Source organism: Homo sapiens, chromosome 14, assembly GCF_000001405.40.
Source record: "Homo sapiens chromosome 14, GRCh38.p14 Primary Assembly".
Taxonomy (NCBI): Eukaryota; Metazoa; Chordata; class Mammalia; order Primates; family Hominidae; genus Homo; species Homo sapiens.
In genome coordinates, this window is record NC_000014.9 from 91,268,648 (window position 1) to 91,283,764 (window position 15,117).

Sequence of the window (15,117 nt, forward strand, 5' to 3'; positions counted from 1 at the left end):
GGTTGAGAGTAGAAGGATGGTTACCAGAGGCTGGGCAGGGTAATGGGGTGGGAGGGGAGTGAGGATGGTTAATGGGAACAAACATATAGTTAGATACAATAAGACCTAGTATTTGATAGCACAAGAGGATGACTACAGTCAAAAATAACTTATTGTACATGTAAAAATAAGTAAAAGAGGCCGGGCGTGGTGGCTCACGCCTGTAATCCTAGCACTTTGGGAGGCCGAGGTGGGCAGATCACCTGAAGTCAGGAGTTTGAGACCATCCTGGCCAACATGGTGAAACCCCGTCTCTACTAAAAATACAAAAATTAGCCGGGCGTGGTGGTGGGCACCTGTAATCCCAGCTACTCAGGAGGCTGAGGCAGGAGAATCGCTTGAACCCAGGAGGCAGAGGATGCAGTGAGCTGAGACTGTGCCATTGCACTCCAGCCTGGGCAACAAAAGTGAAACTCTGTCTCAAAAAAAAAAAAAGAAAGAAAGAAAGAAACGAAACAGCGTCAATAAAAGTCTGACCTTGTGGAAAGACACACGTGTGTGGACCTGGTTATGCCTGACCTCGCGCTGCTCACAAGTGTGGCCAATGTGGAGGGGAGTGTTCTAAATAGGAAGGTCCCTGAGTCAGGGCACCTCCTGAGAAGTGACGAGGGCTGAGAAGTTGCCTCTGGATTAGCGACCTTGACAGGAGCTCTCCCGCAGGACCAGTGGGACCAAAAGCCGGCTGGAGTGGATGGAAGAGTAGGGGGAGAGCCTGAGGCAGCGGGACCAGTCGGCGGGAGGGTGTGAACTAGGGCAGAGACAGCTGGCAGAGGGGAGCGGCCCAGATTCCCACCCCACCCTCAGGTCCAGGATGTGACGTGTGATATGTGGGATGTGAGGAAAGGAGGGGTCCAGCTCGAATCTCAGGCTCCTGAGGCTGCAGAGATGGTCCTGGGAACAGGGGAGCTGGGTTGATGAGGGCAGCAGTCCTGGCCTGAAGGTCAGGAGACGCTGGGCTGGAGGTCACCTCCACAAGCGCTCCCTTTGTAGGGAGGGTGGGGTCAGGCCTGCAGGGGGAATGCACGACAGGAGAGTGGTGGAGGCAGAATCCAGGGCTCTGCCCGCAGCCCTGATGTCCCCGGGAGGGATGAATGAAGGGACGAAGGAGCAGGCAGCACAGAGCTGTCCCAGAGGGACAAAGAAGCGTGCAGCAGAGGCTAAGGGTGCCAAGAAGTGCCTGGCCAGCTGTCAAGTATTGCAAAGGCCACACAGGATGAAGACTGCGGGTGGCCACCGCTCAGTCTGGCTCAAAACAGCATGGATGGCAGTTTCTGTGGAGTGGCCAGATACAAGGACAGATTGCAGAGCCTCGGGGAGAACGGGCAAGGAGGTGAGAGGAGAGAGCCAAAAAATAGGCTTGGTGAGAAGGAAGGAGACACTGAGGCAGCAGCTGGACAGAAAAACATCAGAAGAACCTTGGTCAGGCATGGCCATTTTCATGCCTCCTCCTTCCCTCTCTTCCTCCTCTCCACCATGCATCCGATTTCAGTATCTTCGGCCCCTAAGGTCCAAATTCCAGATCCAGCATTTACTGGTTGAGTAGCCTTGGGAAAATCATAAGGAGCCCCTTCAGGCTGAGCTCCTGTCACGACATGAGATGAACGCCATAGCAAAATGGGGTTCTTCAATTATTTTTGAGATGGGGTCTTGCTGTGTCGCCCAGGCTGGAGTGCAGAGGCACAAGTCCTGGTTCACTGAAGCCTCGACTGCTGGGGCTCAAGTGATCCTCCCGCCTCAGCCTCCATAGTGGCTGGGACTACAGGTGCAAACCACCATACCCCGCTATTTTATTTTTTGTTTGAGACAGGGCCTCACTCTGTCTCCCAGGCTAGAGTGCAGTGGCACCATCACTGCTCACTGCAGCCTCAACATCCCTGGGCTTAAGGGATCCTCTGTCTTCAGCCTCCCGAGTAGCTGGGACTGCAGGTATACACCACCACGCCTGGCTAATTTTTCTATCTTTTGTAGACAATGTCTTGCTATGTTGCCCAGACTGGTCTCCAGCCCATTGCATGCCCCCTGTGGTGGTGGTGACCCATTAGAAAAACAAATAAAATAGGATTCAATTGATGCCAACTTAAACACACCTGAGGAGGGGTGGAAAGCTGTCACCGTACAGGAAATCTTTGTCCTTCACATCTGTCTCTGGTTGCACGTGTAACAGCTTCCCCCACCTAGTGGCAAGGAAAGTGGTGGATTCCAACTGTGGAGGAAGGGTCGCCGGCATGCAGAGGGAGGGGTGCAGGGGGAGGGGTGCAGAGGGAGGGGCACAGAGGGAGGGGTGGAGGGGCGCAGAGGGAGGGGCGCAGAGGGAGGGGTGGAGGGGCGCAGAGGGAGGGGCACAGAGGGAGCGGTGCAGAGGGAGGGGTGCAGAGGGAGGGGCGCAGAGGGGGGGTGGAGGGGCGCAGGGGGGTGGAGGGGCGCAGGGGGGTGGAGGGGCGCAGGGGTAGGGGTGCAGAGGGAGGGGCACAGGGAGGGGCGCAGAGGGAGGGGTGGAGGGGCGCAGAGGGAGGGGTGCAGGGGCACAGAGGAAGGGGAGCAGAGGGAGGGGTGCATAAGGAGGGGCGCAGGGAGCCCCAAGTCCCCAGGGGCCCACCCGATGCTAACAATGTGCAGTGAGGAAAGCCAGAACGCACTTCGGTTCCATTCCATTTTATTACAGTCCTGTCCTTGAGTTCCAGAATGAATGGCTATTTAATACACAACCCCAAACACTCCTAAAATGGATCTTGTTAACATTCAAAAGTCTCCCATTTCTTTCTCAGTATATTAAATCAAAAGGAAAAAAAAATCTTAAAAAAAAAAAATCAATAGGTTTAGTTCACCCCAGGAAAAGCACCTTTACAACAGGAAACTAAATTGTCAGGAATCTGACCAAAGACACAAAGCAGCAGATAAGATTCCCGACAGAAGAGAGTGACTCCCACTGGAACATAAATAGATCCCCCCAAAGTATACATATTTCACATGAGTGTGTACATATACATGTCATATATTAAAAAAAATTGGTTTCTATACCCAAAAAGTTATTCAGAAATAAATCAACACCCCGAGACCGGGGATGTCGGGTGCCGCAGCCAGGTTACACATCGAGCTTGCACCTCGCTCTGTGCGGATGACCCCTCGGTGCACTGTGCACACTGGCCTGGAGGGGGCTGGATGGGGGCCTCTTTCCTGCCCCCCAATCCCCAGGCCTGGCAGATCCAGTGTTTGCAGAAAAGTGAGCCAGGGAAATCTAGGAAGGCAGGTGCCTGTGTGGTCCCCAAACCCCCTGGTGCAGAGCTCAGGAGCCAGCTGGAGGCTGGGGGCAAATGGCCAAGGCCACCGCCAGCTGCCCTGCAGGCTGCCCTGGGTCCTGGGGTAAAGGGAAGTGCTTGGGACCCCAGGAATGGAACAGCAGCACTCTCACTTTTTAACAGCAGGCCTGACTCTGGGGTCTGCCAGGCCCTGGAGACCTTTGTAGTATCGCCAGTCTGGGCTTCTCCTGGGATCCAGTGGCCTTGGGAGAGGGAGTGGGCTTTCTGACCCGCCAGGCCTGAGCCTCGTAAGCCTGTTGTGTGAGTGTGTGTGTGCTTAACGGAGCTCAACACATTGCAAATGAGTGTTCTACTGGGACATACTGGAGTAGTGTCTGCTTTGGGGGAAGTCAGTTTGTCATTGCATCCTAATTGGTCCCCATGCTGACGTGGATTATTTGTTCCAAAGATATCAGCTGCTGGAAGCGGCAGACACAGAAAACACGTTACACACCTGGAAGCGTAATCCTCTTGGGGCTTGGCACAGTGTTTCCATTCACAGAACAAACAGCAGAAATGCGTGGGAACCCCTTTCCTCATTCCAAACCCTCTCCTGGCACCGCAGGCAAGCAAGAGAAAAGGCCGTGAGAGTCGGAAGGCGCGTCAGTAGTTTTCAGGTTTGCGAGCTCAACCACGAGACAGTCACACACAGCCGTACTCATACCACACGGTCTGCGGATCCCCGCCGGGCTCCGGGGAGGCCGGACTGCTCTTTGAGACGCTCCCTCGACTGCAGTCCTCCAGGGCCCGGCCGAGGTGGGGAGCCAAATCGGGAGACCGACCTGGGCTCTTGGCCGGAAGCCCCTCACTGCAGCCCTGCCCCGGGACCCCGTCTCCCTCTGAGAGGCTGAGCCCTGCCCGGACAGGGGTGATGGTGGCCACCTCCCCTGAGCGTGGGGGCGCCTTGGGCTTGGTCCTGGCAGCCGGGGCTGCAGCAGGTGAGAAGTGCAGGAGCTGGGAGTTGCTGCCACTGCCAGCAGCAGCAGCACCAGCACCTGCAGTGGCAATGGCGGGGGCTGTGGCAGACTGATGCAGGGGGGCCAGCCTCTCCTCCTTTGGGGGAGCCAGGGAGAAGCGCCTCGTGTCCAGCGGCCGGCTGCGGGGACCTGGGCCCTGACAGGAGCTGCCAGCCTTTCCCACAAGTGGGGTCCGCTCCCGGGCCAGGCTATGGGAGCTGGGGGGTGCGGGGCTTTGCAGGGTGTGGCTGCCTGTCTCTCTGCCCCCTAAGGCCTCAGGAGCCCCCAGCTTCTGAGGGGACTCCTGTTTGCAGGCCTCTGGCCCGCTGGCCCGGAGAAGGTCAGCTGAGGCCAGGCTGAAGGCCCGGCTCAAGGAGGCACTGCGGCTGGCAGGTGCATGGGAAGCTGGGGGCACCGGAGCCTGCCGGGGTCTGCCCAGAGACAGGCTCTGGGGAGGCTGGGCCTGTCTCGGGGCCACGCTGGGTGGGGCCTCGGCCTCAGTCAGTCTGAAGTTTGGCTTTACGTACTGCCCGGGCTTCAGCGGCCTCCCCTCCGAGGTGGGGGCGGCCATTTTGACGGTGGGGGCCACAAAGTTGGTGGGCATCTTGGCCCCTTCTTTCTTGGCAGGTGGTCCTGGTTGGCCTCCGATGGCTGGGGGATCGCTGGCCTTTCGGAAGTAGTCACTCAGCAGGTCATCCCGGCAACTGGGAGTGTCCTACGGAGAAGAGAGTGAAGGTTGGAGGTGGGCATGAGGGTTGGGTGGGTCCTTGGAGCCGCCTCCTGCGCGGGACGCCCCCGAGCAGCCCACGTGGCTGGGACCGCAGTTCCTGCCTGCCTTCTCCGAGGCACATGTGCCGCCTCCACCACACACACCAGCCCTGGGCAGGATGGTGAGGGTGGCTAAGGCAGCATGGGACCACCAGGAAAGAACCCCAGATTCCCCCCAGGCAACCCCCTAACTTTACAGATAAGGAAACAGACCCAGAGAGGGAAATGACTTCCTACAAAGTGAGTAAGTTTCCCAGAAACCTCGACTATAGCCGACTGCTTCGGTCTGTCTGGTTTCCACCAAGCACAGCAGGAACTAGAATGCTGGCGGATATGAGCAGGGCCTTCCTTCCCCGGTCACCCCGGGACATCATAAGGACTTCACCTTGCGCCACCGAGAGCAAGAGGAACAAGAGCAGCTCTTGAAACGCCGGAACCTTCACTGCCACTCAGACCTCTCTCTGGGCCCGAGAAAGAGAAGAGAGAGGCAGAATGGGGATGGGAGGGGGTGGGGGACAGAGAGGTACAAATGGGGTCCGCGAGGGTCCAGAAGGGGGAATGGTGGGGCTGCACAGGGAAATGAAGACACCAGGAAGGCCCAGCCGCCACACTGTCCCTGCTAAGCTGCCGCCCGGGCTGTGCTTCCCCTGCCCAGGGAGCAGGTGTCATTTGCCACCACCTTGGGAATAGGCAGAGCCACAGAGGCAAGGGTCTATGGCCCCACTCAGGAACTGCAGCCTTCTGCAAGCCTAGCTTCTCCTGAGGCTGACATGGATGAAGAGGAAGAGAAGTGAGTTCATGGGGGATGAGAGGCCGGCAGGTGTCAGCCTGAAGGCGGGTTGGTAGCTCAGGAGCCATCTGCACCTGCCAGCAACTCCTGTCCCACACAAACATCTGGACATGGTGCCACTGGACAGAGATACATCTGCTGTTTTATGCTAGTTTGACGCTACACATCTTGGGTGGGCGTCCAGTAAGACCCGTGATATCACAGGTACCTTTCATCACCTGTGGGGCCATGTGCTGTTCTGGGAACCACATGTATAATTGCAAAGAAACTCATTTAATTCTCAAAATGACCTCGCAAGGTTGTTGAAAGGCTGTATCAAGGTAAAGAAACAGGTCACGGAGGTTTGGCAGGCCATGCGTCCAGAGAGGCAGACCCAGATGAAAGCCTATGGCTGCCTGACTCCAGAGCTGCTTTCCACTCCACCAGGCTCCTCCCTGCACACCTCAGAGCCTTTGATACCCACCCTTCCTGGCCACGCAGGGAGCCCCATCTTGTGACATGCCCTCCCTGCATCATCGACGCCCAGAGAGTGGGGGCGCGGTGGGCATACGGTTGTCATTTCCCTGGGATGGGAAGCCCCTGTGTACATTAGGGGCCTTGTGTGTCAGGGGTACCAGGAGGGAAGTCAGGTGTGTCAGGGGTAGGGGGTTAAATATACCAGGCAGACAGAGGGGGCTGGCTCGCTGCATGCCAGACATCAGCTTTCAACAGAAGCTGCTACAGCCAGACTGTTTTGGTCTCATTTAAGCTAAAAATGGAAAGGTAACAGTACAGGGCACAGGGAATGGGGACTGTGAAGACCAGTCTGAGCTGAGCAGGGAGGGGCCCCACTCCTTGCTCAGGACCTGCCTGCCAGATCTCCAAAGGGAAAGGAAAGCATCATAAGGGGCATATAACAAAAAAAGACTGAGAAGGAAAGCCTTCCAGCTGTGGGCCCCCCCAATTTCTGGAGTGTTCTTGTTCAGTCCATTAGACCAGCAGTTCTTTTTTTTTTTTTTGGAGACAGAGTCTCACTGTGTTGCCCAGGCTGGAGTGCAGTGGCACAATCTCGGTTCACTGCAACCTGAGCCTCTCGGGTTCAAGAGATTCTCCTGCCTCAACCTCCCGAGTAGCTGGGATCACAGGCACCCACCACCATGACCCGGTTCATTTTTGTATCTTTAGTAGAGATGGGGTTTCATTGTATCTTTAGTAGAGATGGGGTTTCACTATGTTGGCCAGGCTGGTCTCGAACGCCTGACCTCAAGTGATCCACCCAACTCAGCCTCCCAAAGTGCTGGAATGACAGGCATGAGCCACCGCTTGGCCTAGACCAGTGGTTCTTTTTTTTTTTTTTTTTTTTTGAGACGGAGTTTCGCTCTGTCGCCCAGGCTGGAGTGCAGTGGCGCGATCTCGACTCACTGCAAGCTCCGCCTCCCGGGTTCACGCCATTCTCCTGCCTCAGCCTCCCGTGTAGCTGGGACTACAGGCGCGCGCCACCACGCCCGGCTAATTTTTGTATTTTTAGTAGAGACGGGGTTTCACCGTGTTAGCCAGGATGGTCTCGATCTCCTGACCTCGTGATCCGCCCGTCTCGGCCTCCCGAAGTGCTGGGATTACAGGCGTGAGCCACCGCGCCCGGCCAGACCAGTGGTTCTTAAACCATGGTGCCTACCCAGCCGCAAGACCATTATCTGGAATTTATAAAGATGCAAATTCTCAGCGAGCCCAACCTCAGACCCATTGATTCAGAAACTCAGGGGATGGGTTCTGTGGTCTGGCAAGGCCCCCAGACGATTCAAACGCACGCCTGAGTTTGAGAACCACAACATTAGACCGCTAACTTCTCGAGGGCAGGCCCTCCTTTGTTTTTCTCCAGCTTTGGCTTCTCCAGCTCCTTGCACAGAGTAAGTGCTTGGGAAAGAGAAATGTTTAAATGAAGGAAGGCCAGGGCCATGTTTTATATTTCTCTCGTGTCAACTGCAAGGCTGGGCACAGCACATGCAGGCAAAGAAAACCTGCTGATGAACTGGTTTGCTTTGCTTTCCAAGAGCAGGCACCATGCATACTGCTAAACATAAGACTGCAGGTGCTCAATAAATATCTACCAAACACACACTTTCTTTTCTGTGTCACTGTGCCCTAGTAATGCAGGTCACAGGGTTTACCAGAGAGCCAGACAAAGTCCAAATGTGTTTCTTTAAGGGGAATGAGATGGAAAGACTGAAAAAGGCTGAAGTTTTAAGAATCCTCAAAAGGGCTCAATTGCAGACAGTGAACTTCACTCACTCAGTAACCCAACAGCTCACGTGACAAAATTCAGAGCACTTTAAAGACGTATGTGCAGCTTCAAAAAAGCTAAACGAAGACCTACAGAGGTGGCAGGAGGTTGTCAACAGGCAGTGTTTAGGGTGAGGAGCTGCAGAGCTGGGGCCAAATCCAGCTAGCCGCCTGTTTTTGTATATCCTGTGAGAATAGTTGCTACATTTTTATTTTTATTTTATTTTTTCTTGAGACAGAGTCTCGCTCTGTCGCTCAAGATGGAGTGCAGTGGTGCAATGTCAGCTTACTGCAACCTCCGCCTCCCGGTTTCAAATGATTCTCCTGCCTCAGCCTCCCGAGTAGTTGGGGTTAAAGGCACCTGCCACAAGGCCCGGCTAATTTTTGTATTTTTTGTAGAGACAAGTGTCTCTACAACTCTGCTTATCTTTTGTAGAGACGGGTGTATTTTTTGTAGAGATGGTGGCCAGGCTGGTCTCAAACTCCTGGACTCAGGTGATCTGCCCACCTTGGCCTCCCAAAGGCTGGGATTACAGGCGTGAGCCACTGCATCTGGCCAGTTGCTACATTTTTAATTGGTCAAAAAGAAATTTTGTAAAAACGTATTTCACATCATGCGAAAATCATATGAAATTCAAATGTCAGTGTCCATAAGTAAAGCTTTATCGGATGTCAGCCATGTCCATCTATTGACATAGGATCAAGTGTCTGCTTTCTCGAATGTGGCAGAATTGAGTAGCTACAACAGAGACTGTGAGACCCAGAAAGCCTAAAATCATTCCTCTCTGGCCCTTTCAAGGTCCTTGAAAGTTTGCCAATCCCTGCTGGAGAAAATGCAGGGTAAGCGGGTACTCAGAGCTCTGCCGTGAAACCCAGCGTGAGATCCTAGCCCTGTAAGTCAGGTGCTGGCCACGCACCCTTGGTGCGGGCCACAAGCTCTGCCAGCTCACTTCCCAGACCCAGGGGAGAGCAGCCTCCAGGGTTGGGGCTGGCGGCTGGCTTGCGGTGACTTGTCAGCTAGTGCTCTAGTCAGCCTCTCATGTCCAAGCCAGTCCTGTGCCTAGGCCACGCCACCCCCACCCCATCCTTTCTGCAGCTATGATCTTGAGCCAGGAAGAGACAGAGAGGGAAGAGAGACGGGCCAAGTCCGTGTCCGGATCACTCACATGGGTGGGGGAGCTGCGGTTGCTCTCCTCCAGGAACTCCTCCAAGGTGACCATCTCACTGCTGGGGGAGGCCGAGCAGGGCCGCACTCCGACGTAGGGAGGGGCTGTGCCCCTCTTCTGGGCACCCTCCTGTGGGAGAGGCCCGTTCCGAGGCAAGGGGTACTCGTGGCGGCCGAGGGCGTTGCGTCCCGGTGTGCTGGCTTCCCGGGGCAAAGTGGCCAGGTCCCTGCTGGGGATCAGGTCTTCGCTGCTGAAGCTCTCAGACCGGCCATGGAGCTGCTCGGAGGAGCCTGGGTGTCAGGGCAGGAGACAGAGGACCCTCATCAGTCTTGGCAGCCCTCTGGTGGCTTCTAGAGGCTTCGTGCTGCCTTTGCCCACTTCAAACTATCAGAATAAAATCCCTTGCCCGAAAACCCAGGGCTTATTCCCACCAGGCTGAAAGTCTGGACTCCTTTTGAATTTCACTTTGGCTTTAAAAACAAAATACTTTGAGATAAAAGTGGAAAGCTTCTGCTGAAGTTTAAGTTATTACTGGCTGTAAGGCACTGCCCTTGTCAGCGCTCGCTCATGCACGTATTCAAAGCTTATTCAGCACCTGCTATGTGCTAGGGGCTAAATGTACAGGGAAGGTTCATGAAGAAAGACCACATTCTGTCCCTAACACAAACCATACATGTTCCGAGAATCAAAATCCTCCACATTTGTTCTGTGGCCACAGTAGAATGGAACTAGTGTTACTCTCCCCATTCTTCAGATGAAGTAAATGAGACTCGGGACCTGTGACATGCCTGCATTCTCAGTGCTGCTCGGGGGAGAAGGGAGCTGAACCCCAACCCATTCTAACTCCCAGCCTGTGCCTGAAACTGTACTGTGTGGCCTCTGAATGCGTCAGAATGCATTTGAAACCCCTAGTCATGTATTTTAAAAATTATAATAATATGACCCCAGAGCCAAACCACCAAATACACTTTTTTTTTTTTTTTTTTTTTTTTTTTCTGAGATAGGGTCTCACTTCTGTTTTTCAGGCTGGAATGCAGTAGCATGATCACAGCCCACTATAGCCTTGACCTCCCAGGCTTGAGCGAGCCTCCCACCTCAGCCTCCTGAGTAGCTGGGACCACAGGCATGCGCCACCACGCCTAGCTAATTTTTTATTTTTTTAGAGATGGGGTTTCGCCATGTTTCCCAGGCTGGTTTCTAACTCCTGGGCTCAAGCGATCCACCTGCTTGGCCCTCCCAAAGTGCTGATTATAGGCATGAGCCACTGTGCCTGGCCCAAATCAATTTTTAAAAGTACACAGAAGCACAAGACTTACCTTTTAGGTTAAGAGGTGAGCTGTTGCTGGATGTGTTTCTACTGCTCTCTAAGCTACTTGGCCGCGACACTGAAAGGAAATGGCAGTGTTAAAATTAAAAAGCCAATGACCAGGTATATCCCAGATGAGCCATCTAAGAAAAACGATGCAGCAAAACAATCCCATGCCAAAGCTAAGCCCAACGCCCTCAGGAAGGAGGAGCTCTGGGACTCCCTCTGCGCTCCAGTGAGGAAGCCTCACTTCACCAACGGAGTGCTGGGCACAGCACAAGCAGCCATCAACAGATGATACTCTGCTTATCTACATTTATGAGGCCTGGGGCTGCAGCTTCAAACAACTTCACAAAGGAAATCTCACACAGAACGCCAGTATAGAGGGCAGACAAAAAAAAGGCTGTGCTGGGTGAACCAGAGGTTGAGGTTGCGGGGGGCCCTCCTCTATTACTGCACAGAGCTTTCTGGAACACATGTGGACAGCCGAGGCCGAGGCCACGGGAAGAGAGATGAGGACCGTTCAGGGCCATGTGTGCGCACATGTAAGGGCACGCACCTGAAGGTGTCACGTCAGGGGACCCACAGGGAGCAGGTGCCAGGGGCCTGGGAAGGAAGGGGGCACTCCCTTCTCCTGGACATTTGCTATTCTTCAGCTTCTTTGTGTCATTTGCCTCAAATTTACATCTGCCCCAAAGGAAAAAAATCAAGGTTTATGGTGCTGAGGGCACCTGCCCACCTGGCCACAACAGGTGCTTGCCTGAGTGTGGCTCTGCCATGCCACCCCACTGCAGACTTTCAGGAAGGCTGGCACCATTCCCTACAGAGGGCAGGCCATCCCTTCCAGGGCCTGCACACCTCTCCTGGGCCACTCCTCCAGCGGCCCTATCTCGAGAGCAAACATGTCTACGCTGCTGTGCTATGAACCCCCGTGGCAGGGATGGCATTTCAGTTGTCCCTGCCACCCCCAGCACCCAGCAGGTGCTGAGCTGAGCCACCTCAGGAGCCTGCAGAAGAGACACCTGGGGTTCCTCTGCTCACTGTGCCACCAAGGCAAGTTCACTCAGGTTTCCTGGGTCCACAGGGCACCTGGTTCCAAGGGCTGAGGTGCTCTGCAAACAGCAGATGTCCAGAAAACACCTGCTAGCAAATATGTTTGAAACTGAGCCAAAAACATACTTGGTGATAGCGAATAGCCTAAAAACAGAATCGGTCCCCTCCCTGAGCAGTGAAAATGTGAAATAAACAAATGCACATCTCTCTTAAAAAAATAAGTAAATTTCAGTATAAGGAAACCGTGATAGCGATCAACGGCCCAAAAGCACCATTGTTTATTCAAGTACTGCAATGCAAATCCTTTTCCCTTCTTTTTCCTAAGAGAAGCTAGAGGAAACAGAACATTTATGAAAAAAGTTCCTATGGTTAGCTGACTGATCGCAAATCTGGCTGCTCAGGGAGATGCACCCAGCACACGAGGCAGATTTCTTCTGTTGGATTAGCCTCCACTCAGTGTAAAGATGTAAGACTCCCATTCATTCAATTGTTTCATTACAGTTCTTTACTCAAGTAGAAGACTGTAAGAATGTCATCAAGCTTTTTAGACCGTGGATAGGGGTAGGAGGTGATGCCAGCTCCTACACTTACCGAGCCTTTCACAAGTAAACTGAAATCGATGTAAACTTCAAGGGGTCTTTTTAGGATTATTTTCTCACCCTTGTAGGGTTGCTTTTCAAAAATTAAACCAAAGCAGCTTTTGATTTTTGAGAAGGCAGGTACTGTTTACTGTCTCCCTTCTGCAGAAATTTATAACATGCTCGAATCCAATGACAAGTGCTTCTAACAATTTCCAAGACTAAATACGCCTCAGAGCTACTATGGGCAACTGCAGCCAAGTGAGGACAGCAAGGGACCTTCTTGAAATGAACGCTCCCCACCTGGGCCACCGGAACTTCCTGGCCAGCCTGGAAGGGTGCTTGAAGGCATGAAGAGGAGAGGTCGGTGCTTCCAGAACTGTGATGCTTGGGAGGTAGCGAATTCCCCACCACTGGAGGTATGTAAGTAGAAGCTACACGCTCAGCCCCCTGGGGAGGGGAAGGAAGAATGGGTCCCCCATTTCCACCTTCATTTGGTGTTGGACTCCCGTACAGGACTCAGCTTAAAGGAAAGGTACCGTGGATAAAAACCAGTCTGGAAACCCAGGCTGGAGGACACAGCACCCTCCCTACTCACCGTACTGCCTGTGGTTGGGGACCTCAAACTCCAGGGATGGCTCACAGAGGTTGTCATCTGAGTTATAGCCTAAGGTGAAAATAAGGCTAGTGAGTCATGGTTACGGAACATGCCTCATCCACAGGGAACCCCGCCACCTCGCCTGGCACCCGGATCCCAGTAGCTCCAGCTCTTGGGGATGAGGGAATGGCATGCAGATGCTGCCTTTGGGACCTGCCTCTCCTACCCCTCCACCGTTTCTCCTGCTGGGACAACCCTGACACTCCCGATTCCCATCCCCTTTAAATCACACTTCCACCTCTGCTGTGGCTGGAACGTGTGGACCAAAGGCGTGTTCTGGCCTAAGGATAATATAAAAAGAGCTGAATATTGAGTATCCTGGGGAGTCCTTTCCAGTCTCAGAGGCCAGCCCTGAGAGCAATTCGCTTTCAGCAGTCAAGCTGTCTTCAGGTGGTAGGAGGAAGAAGGAAGAAAAAGAGGCAAAATCAGAATCTACTCCTTGAGGGGAGAGGCTGAATTCCTGGGGAATAACCCTTGCACTAACAGCTCCTGACCAGAAACAGACCTGGAATCCATTGGCCATCAAGCATTTGGCCTTTCCCTGAGGACTGGAAAATGCCCCACGCCTCAAAATCCTGCTAGTTTCTACCTGAGAGCAGACCCTGGGTCCCCTCCAAAATGACAACAGGGTCTCCATTTTGGAGATGGTGACATGCCCACCTGCAACAGATATCTGGAGTGGGAGGGTCCCTTGAGGTCAGGACCCTATCTCTGTTGCTCTGTTGTTCAGACTCAAGGTTCTACATGCCCATGGCTTCAAGAGTCAGGTGAGTGGGTTTATTTATGCAAATTAACCCCTTCTTGCTCTCTCAGACTTCCAACACCCCAAAGGCAATCACTTTCAACTCCTTCAGCTGTTTCTTTGGATATTTTCCTATCTCTTAAATTATAAGGGGAATGCCCTTTTCCGTTTTAAGCATTATCTCTTCCTTTCTCTTTGCATATTTTAAATTTCCAAATGCTTCTCCCTTCCCTGTTGCTTTTTTATAGCATCCTGTTCTTGTTTCTTGGGTGCAATCATTTCTCTTGTCTCTGATTTGAGTGTCACCCGGCAAGATCTGACTGAGCCATTCTGCTGGGACTCTCTCAGGCTAATGAGATTACTCAAAGAATATTTTAATCTCATGCCTAAAGATGTGAACTCCTGGCACCCTGGAGACAGGGAGTTCCTAAATCCTTCACTGAACCCATTTGTTTTCAATACAGGACACCTGCCTCAACTGTGTCAGTGAACTTCCAGTTCAGAGACGCTATCCTTTCTTGGCCAGGTGTAGTGGCTCAACACCTGTAATTCCAGCACTTTAGGGGGCCAAGGCAAGAGCATTGCTTGAGGCCAGGAGGTTGAGACCAGCCTGGGCAACATGATGAGACCACATATCTACAAAAACTTTAAAATACACATACACACACTAATTTAAAATATATAATTTATCTTCTCTCGAGAAAAAAACCCCAAACTTTTACCAAGGTAGGGCAATGGCAGTTGCCTGGTTTTAGCCCAAACTCTGGTTCTCAGCCCACCTTCACCTCCCTTCTGGAGCTATTTGGTGCCTTCATTTCCTGAATGCCGGTGGTGGCAGTGGGTTCTGAGGCCCCATTGCAGTTGGGCCTCTGAAGGGCTTCCTGCCCAAAGTCCTTGGCTGGTAAGCACAGCTGCATCTGTGCCACCAAAGCCTGTCAGCAGCCTCACCCCTCTACTCACCACCTCTCAGACTGAGAGGGAGAGCAACCTCTCTGATTTCCGAGAGCCTGGGGTCTTCAGGAAGGACACTAGGCCCGACGCTCATGGCTCTGGAAGGGCCTGTGACTCACCTTTGGTGCGGCCTGGGTGCCGGGCGATGGGGGTGGAGTTGGAAGGGGCTGTAGTGGTGGCTGAAGTTGAGCAAGTCCGGGAGCCCAGCTCCGAGGGCCAGGACCTCATGGCCAGATCGGTGGAGGCATCTGTGCGGTCAAGGCTGCCTCTGTGTGGGGAGCCTCGCTTTGGTTTTAGATCCCCAGGGCCTGAGGCAGAAGAGGACATTGAGAAATGAGGCTGCCAAGTCCTGTACCCAGGCTGGGAAACCACACCATGGCCTAGAAGCAGGGCAGCAGGGCATGAGGACCACAGAGACAAAAGCGGGGCTGCCACAGCTCTCGGGCTGCAACTTAAATGGGGCCTGGCGGGGCAGGTGGGGGCAAGAGGGCTTGGCTTCAGGTGGTGTCAGAGGCCCCATGAGGATGGCTCTGGCTTTAATGCTGGGGTCATACT

General features: G+C 53.6%; 2 protein-coding genes across 6 annotated transcripts in view, besides 2 other annotated features; both read right to left on the bottom strand.

Annotated features, from left to right (window-relative positions):
- GPR68 (G protein-coupled receptor 68) overlaps positions 1 to 2,143 on the bottom strand; it is a 38,259-nt gene extending 36,116 nt beyond the window's left edge. The window contains exon 1 of the mRNA XM_047431792.1: positions 2,127 to 2,143. The gene's annotated coding sequence lies outside the window, so the exon portion shown is untranslated. The remainder of the gene's footprint in view (positions 1 to 2,126) is intronic.
- Positions 783 to 1,061: a transcriptional cis regulatory region, noted in NCBI's record as "candidate enhancer chr14.1906 targeted for multiplex CRISPR interference". NCBI's record gives its function as "positively regulates GPR68 gene expression with high confidence in K562 cells {active_cell/tissue: K562}" and the evidence as "EXISTENCE:mutant phenotype evidence [ECO:0000015][PMID:30612741]".
- CCDC88C (coiled-coil domain containing 88C) overlaps positions 2,676 to 15,117 on the bottom strand; it is a 146,498-nt gene continuing 134,056 nt past the window's right edge. For 4 of the 5 annotated variants that reach the window (NR_189159.1, NM_001080414.4, XM_011536796.3 and 1 more), the window contains 5 exons: positions 14,682 to 14,870; positions 12,810 to 12,878; positions 10,591 to 10,659; positions 9,275 to 9,564; positions 2,676 to 5,006 (listed from right to left, as the gene is read on the bottom strand). Coding sequence is in view for 3 of the 5 variants with exons in the window: in NM_001080414.4 (NP_001073883.2) it covers positions 3,978 to 5,006; positions 9,275 to 9,564; positions 10,591 to 10,659; positions 12,810 to 12,878; positions 14,682 to 14,870 (1,646 nt within the window). In the remaining 2 variants the exon portion in view is untranslated. Of the gene's footprint in view, positions 5,007 to 9,274; positions 9,565 to 10,590; positions 10,660 to 12,514; positions 12,662 to 12,809; positions 12,879 to 14,681; positions 14,871 to 15,117 lie in introns of all 5 variants that reach the window. The other variant, NR_189158.1, reaches the window with a different exon arrangement.
- Positions 14,523 to 14,729: a silencer, noted in NCBI's record as "fragment chr14:91749514-91749720 (GRCh37/hg19 assembly coordinates)". NCBI's record gives its function as "represses an EF-1alpha promoter that drives an FKBP-Casp9 reporter gene in an ReSE screen in phorbol 12-myristate 13-acetate-treated (for megakaryocytic differentiation) K562 erythroleukemia cells {active_cell/tissue: K562(+PMA)}" and the evidence as "EXISTENCE:reporter gene assay evidence [ECO:0000049][PMID:32094911]".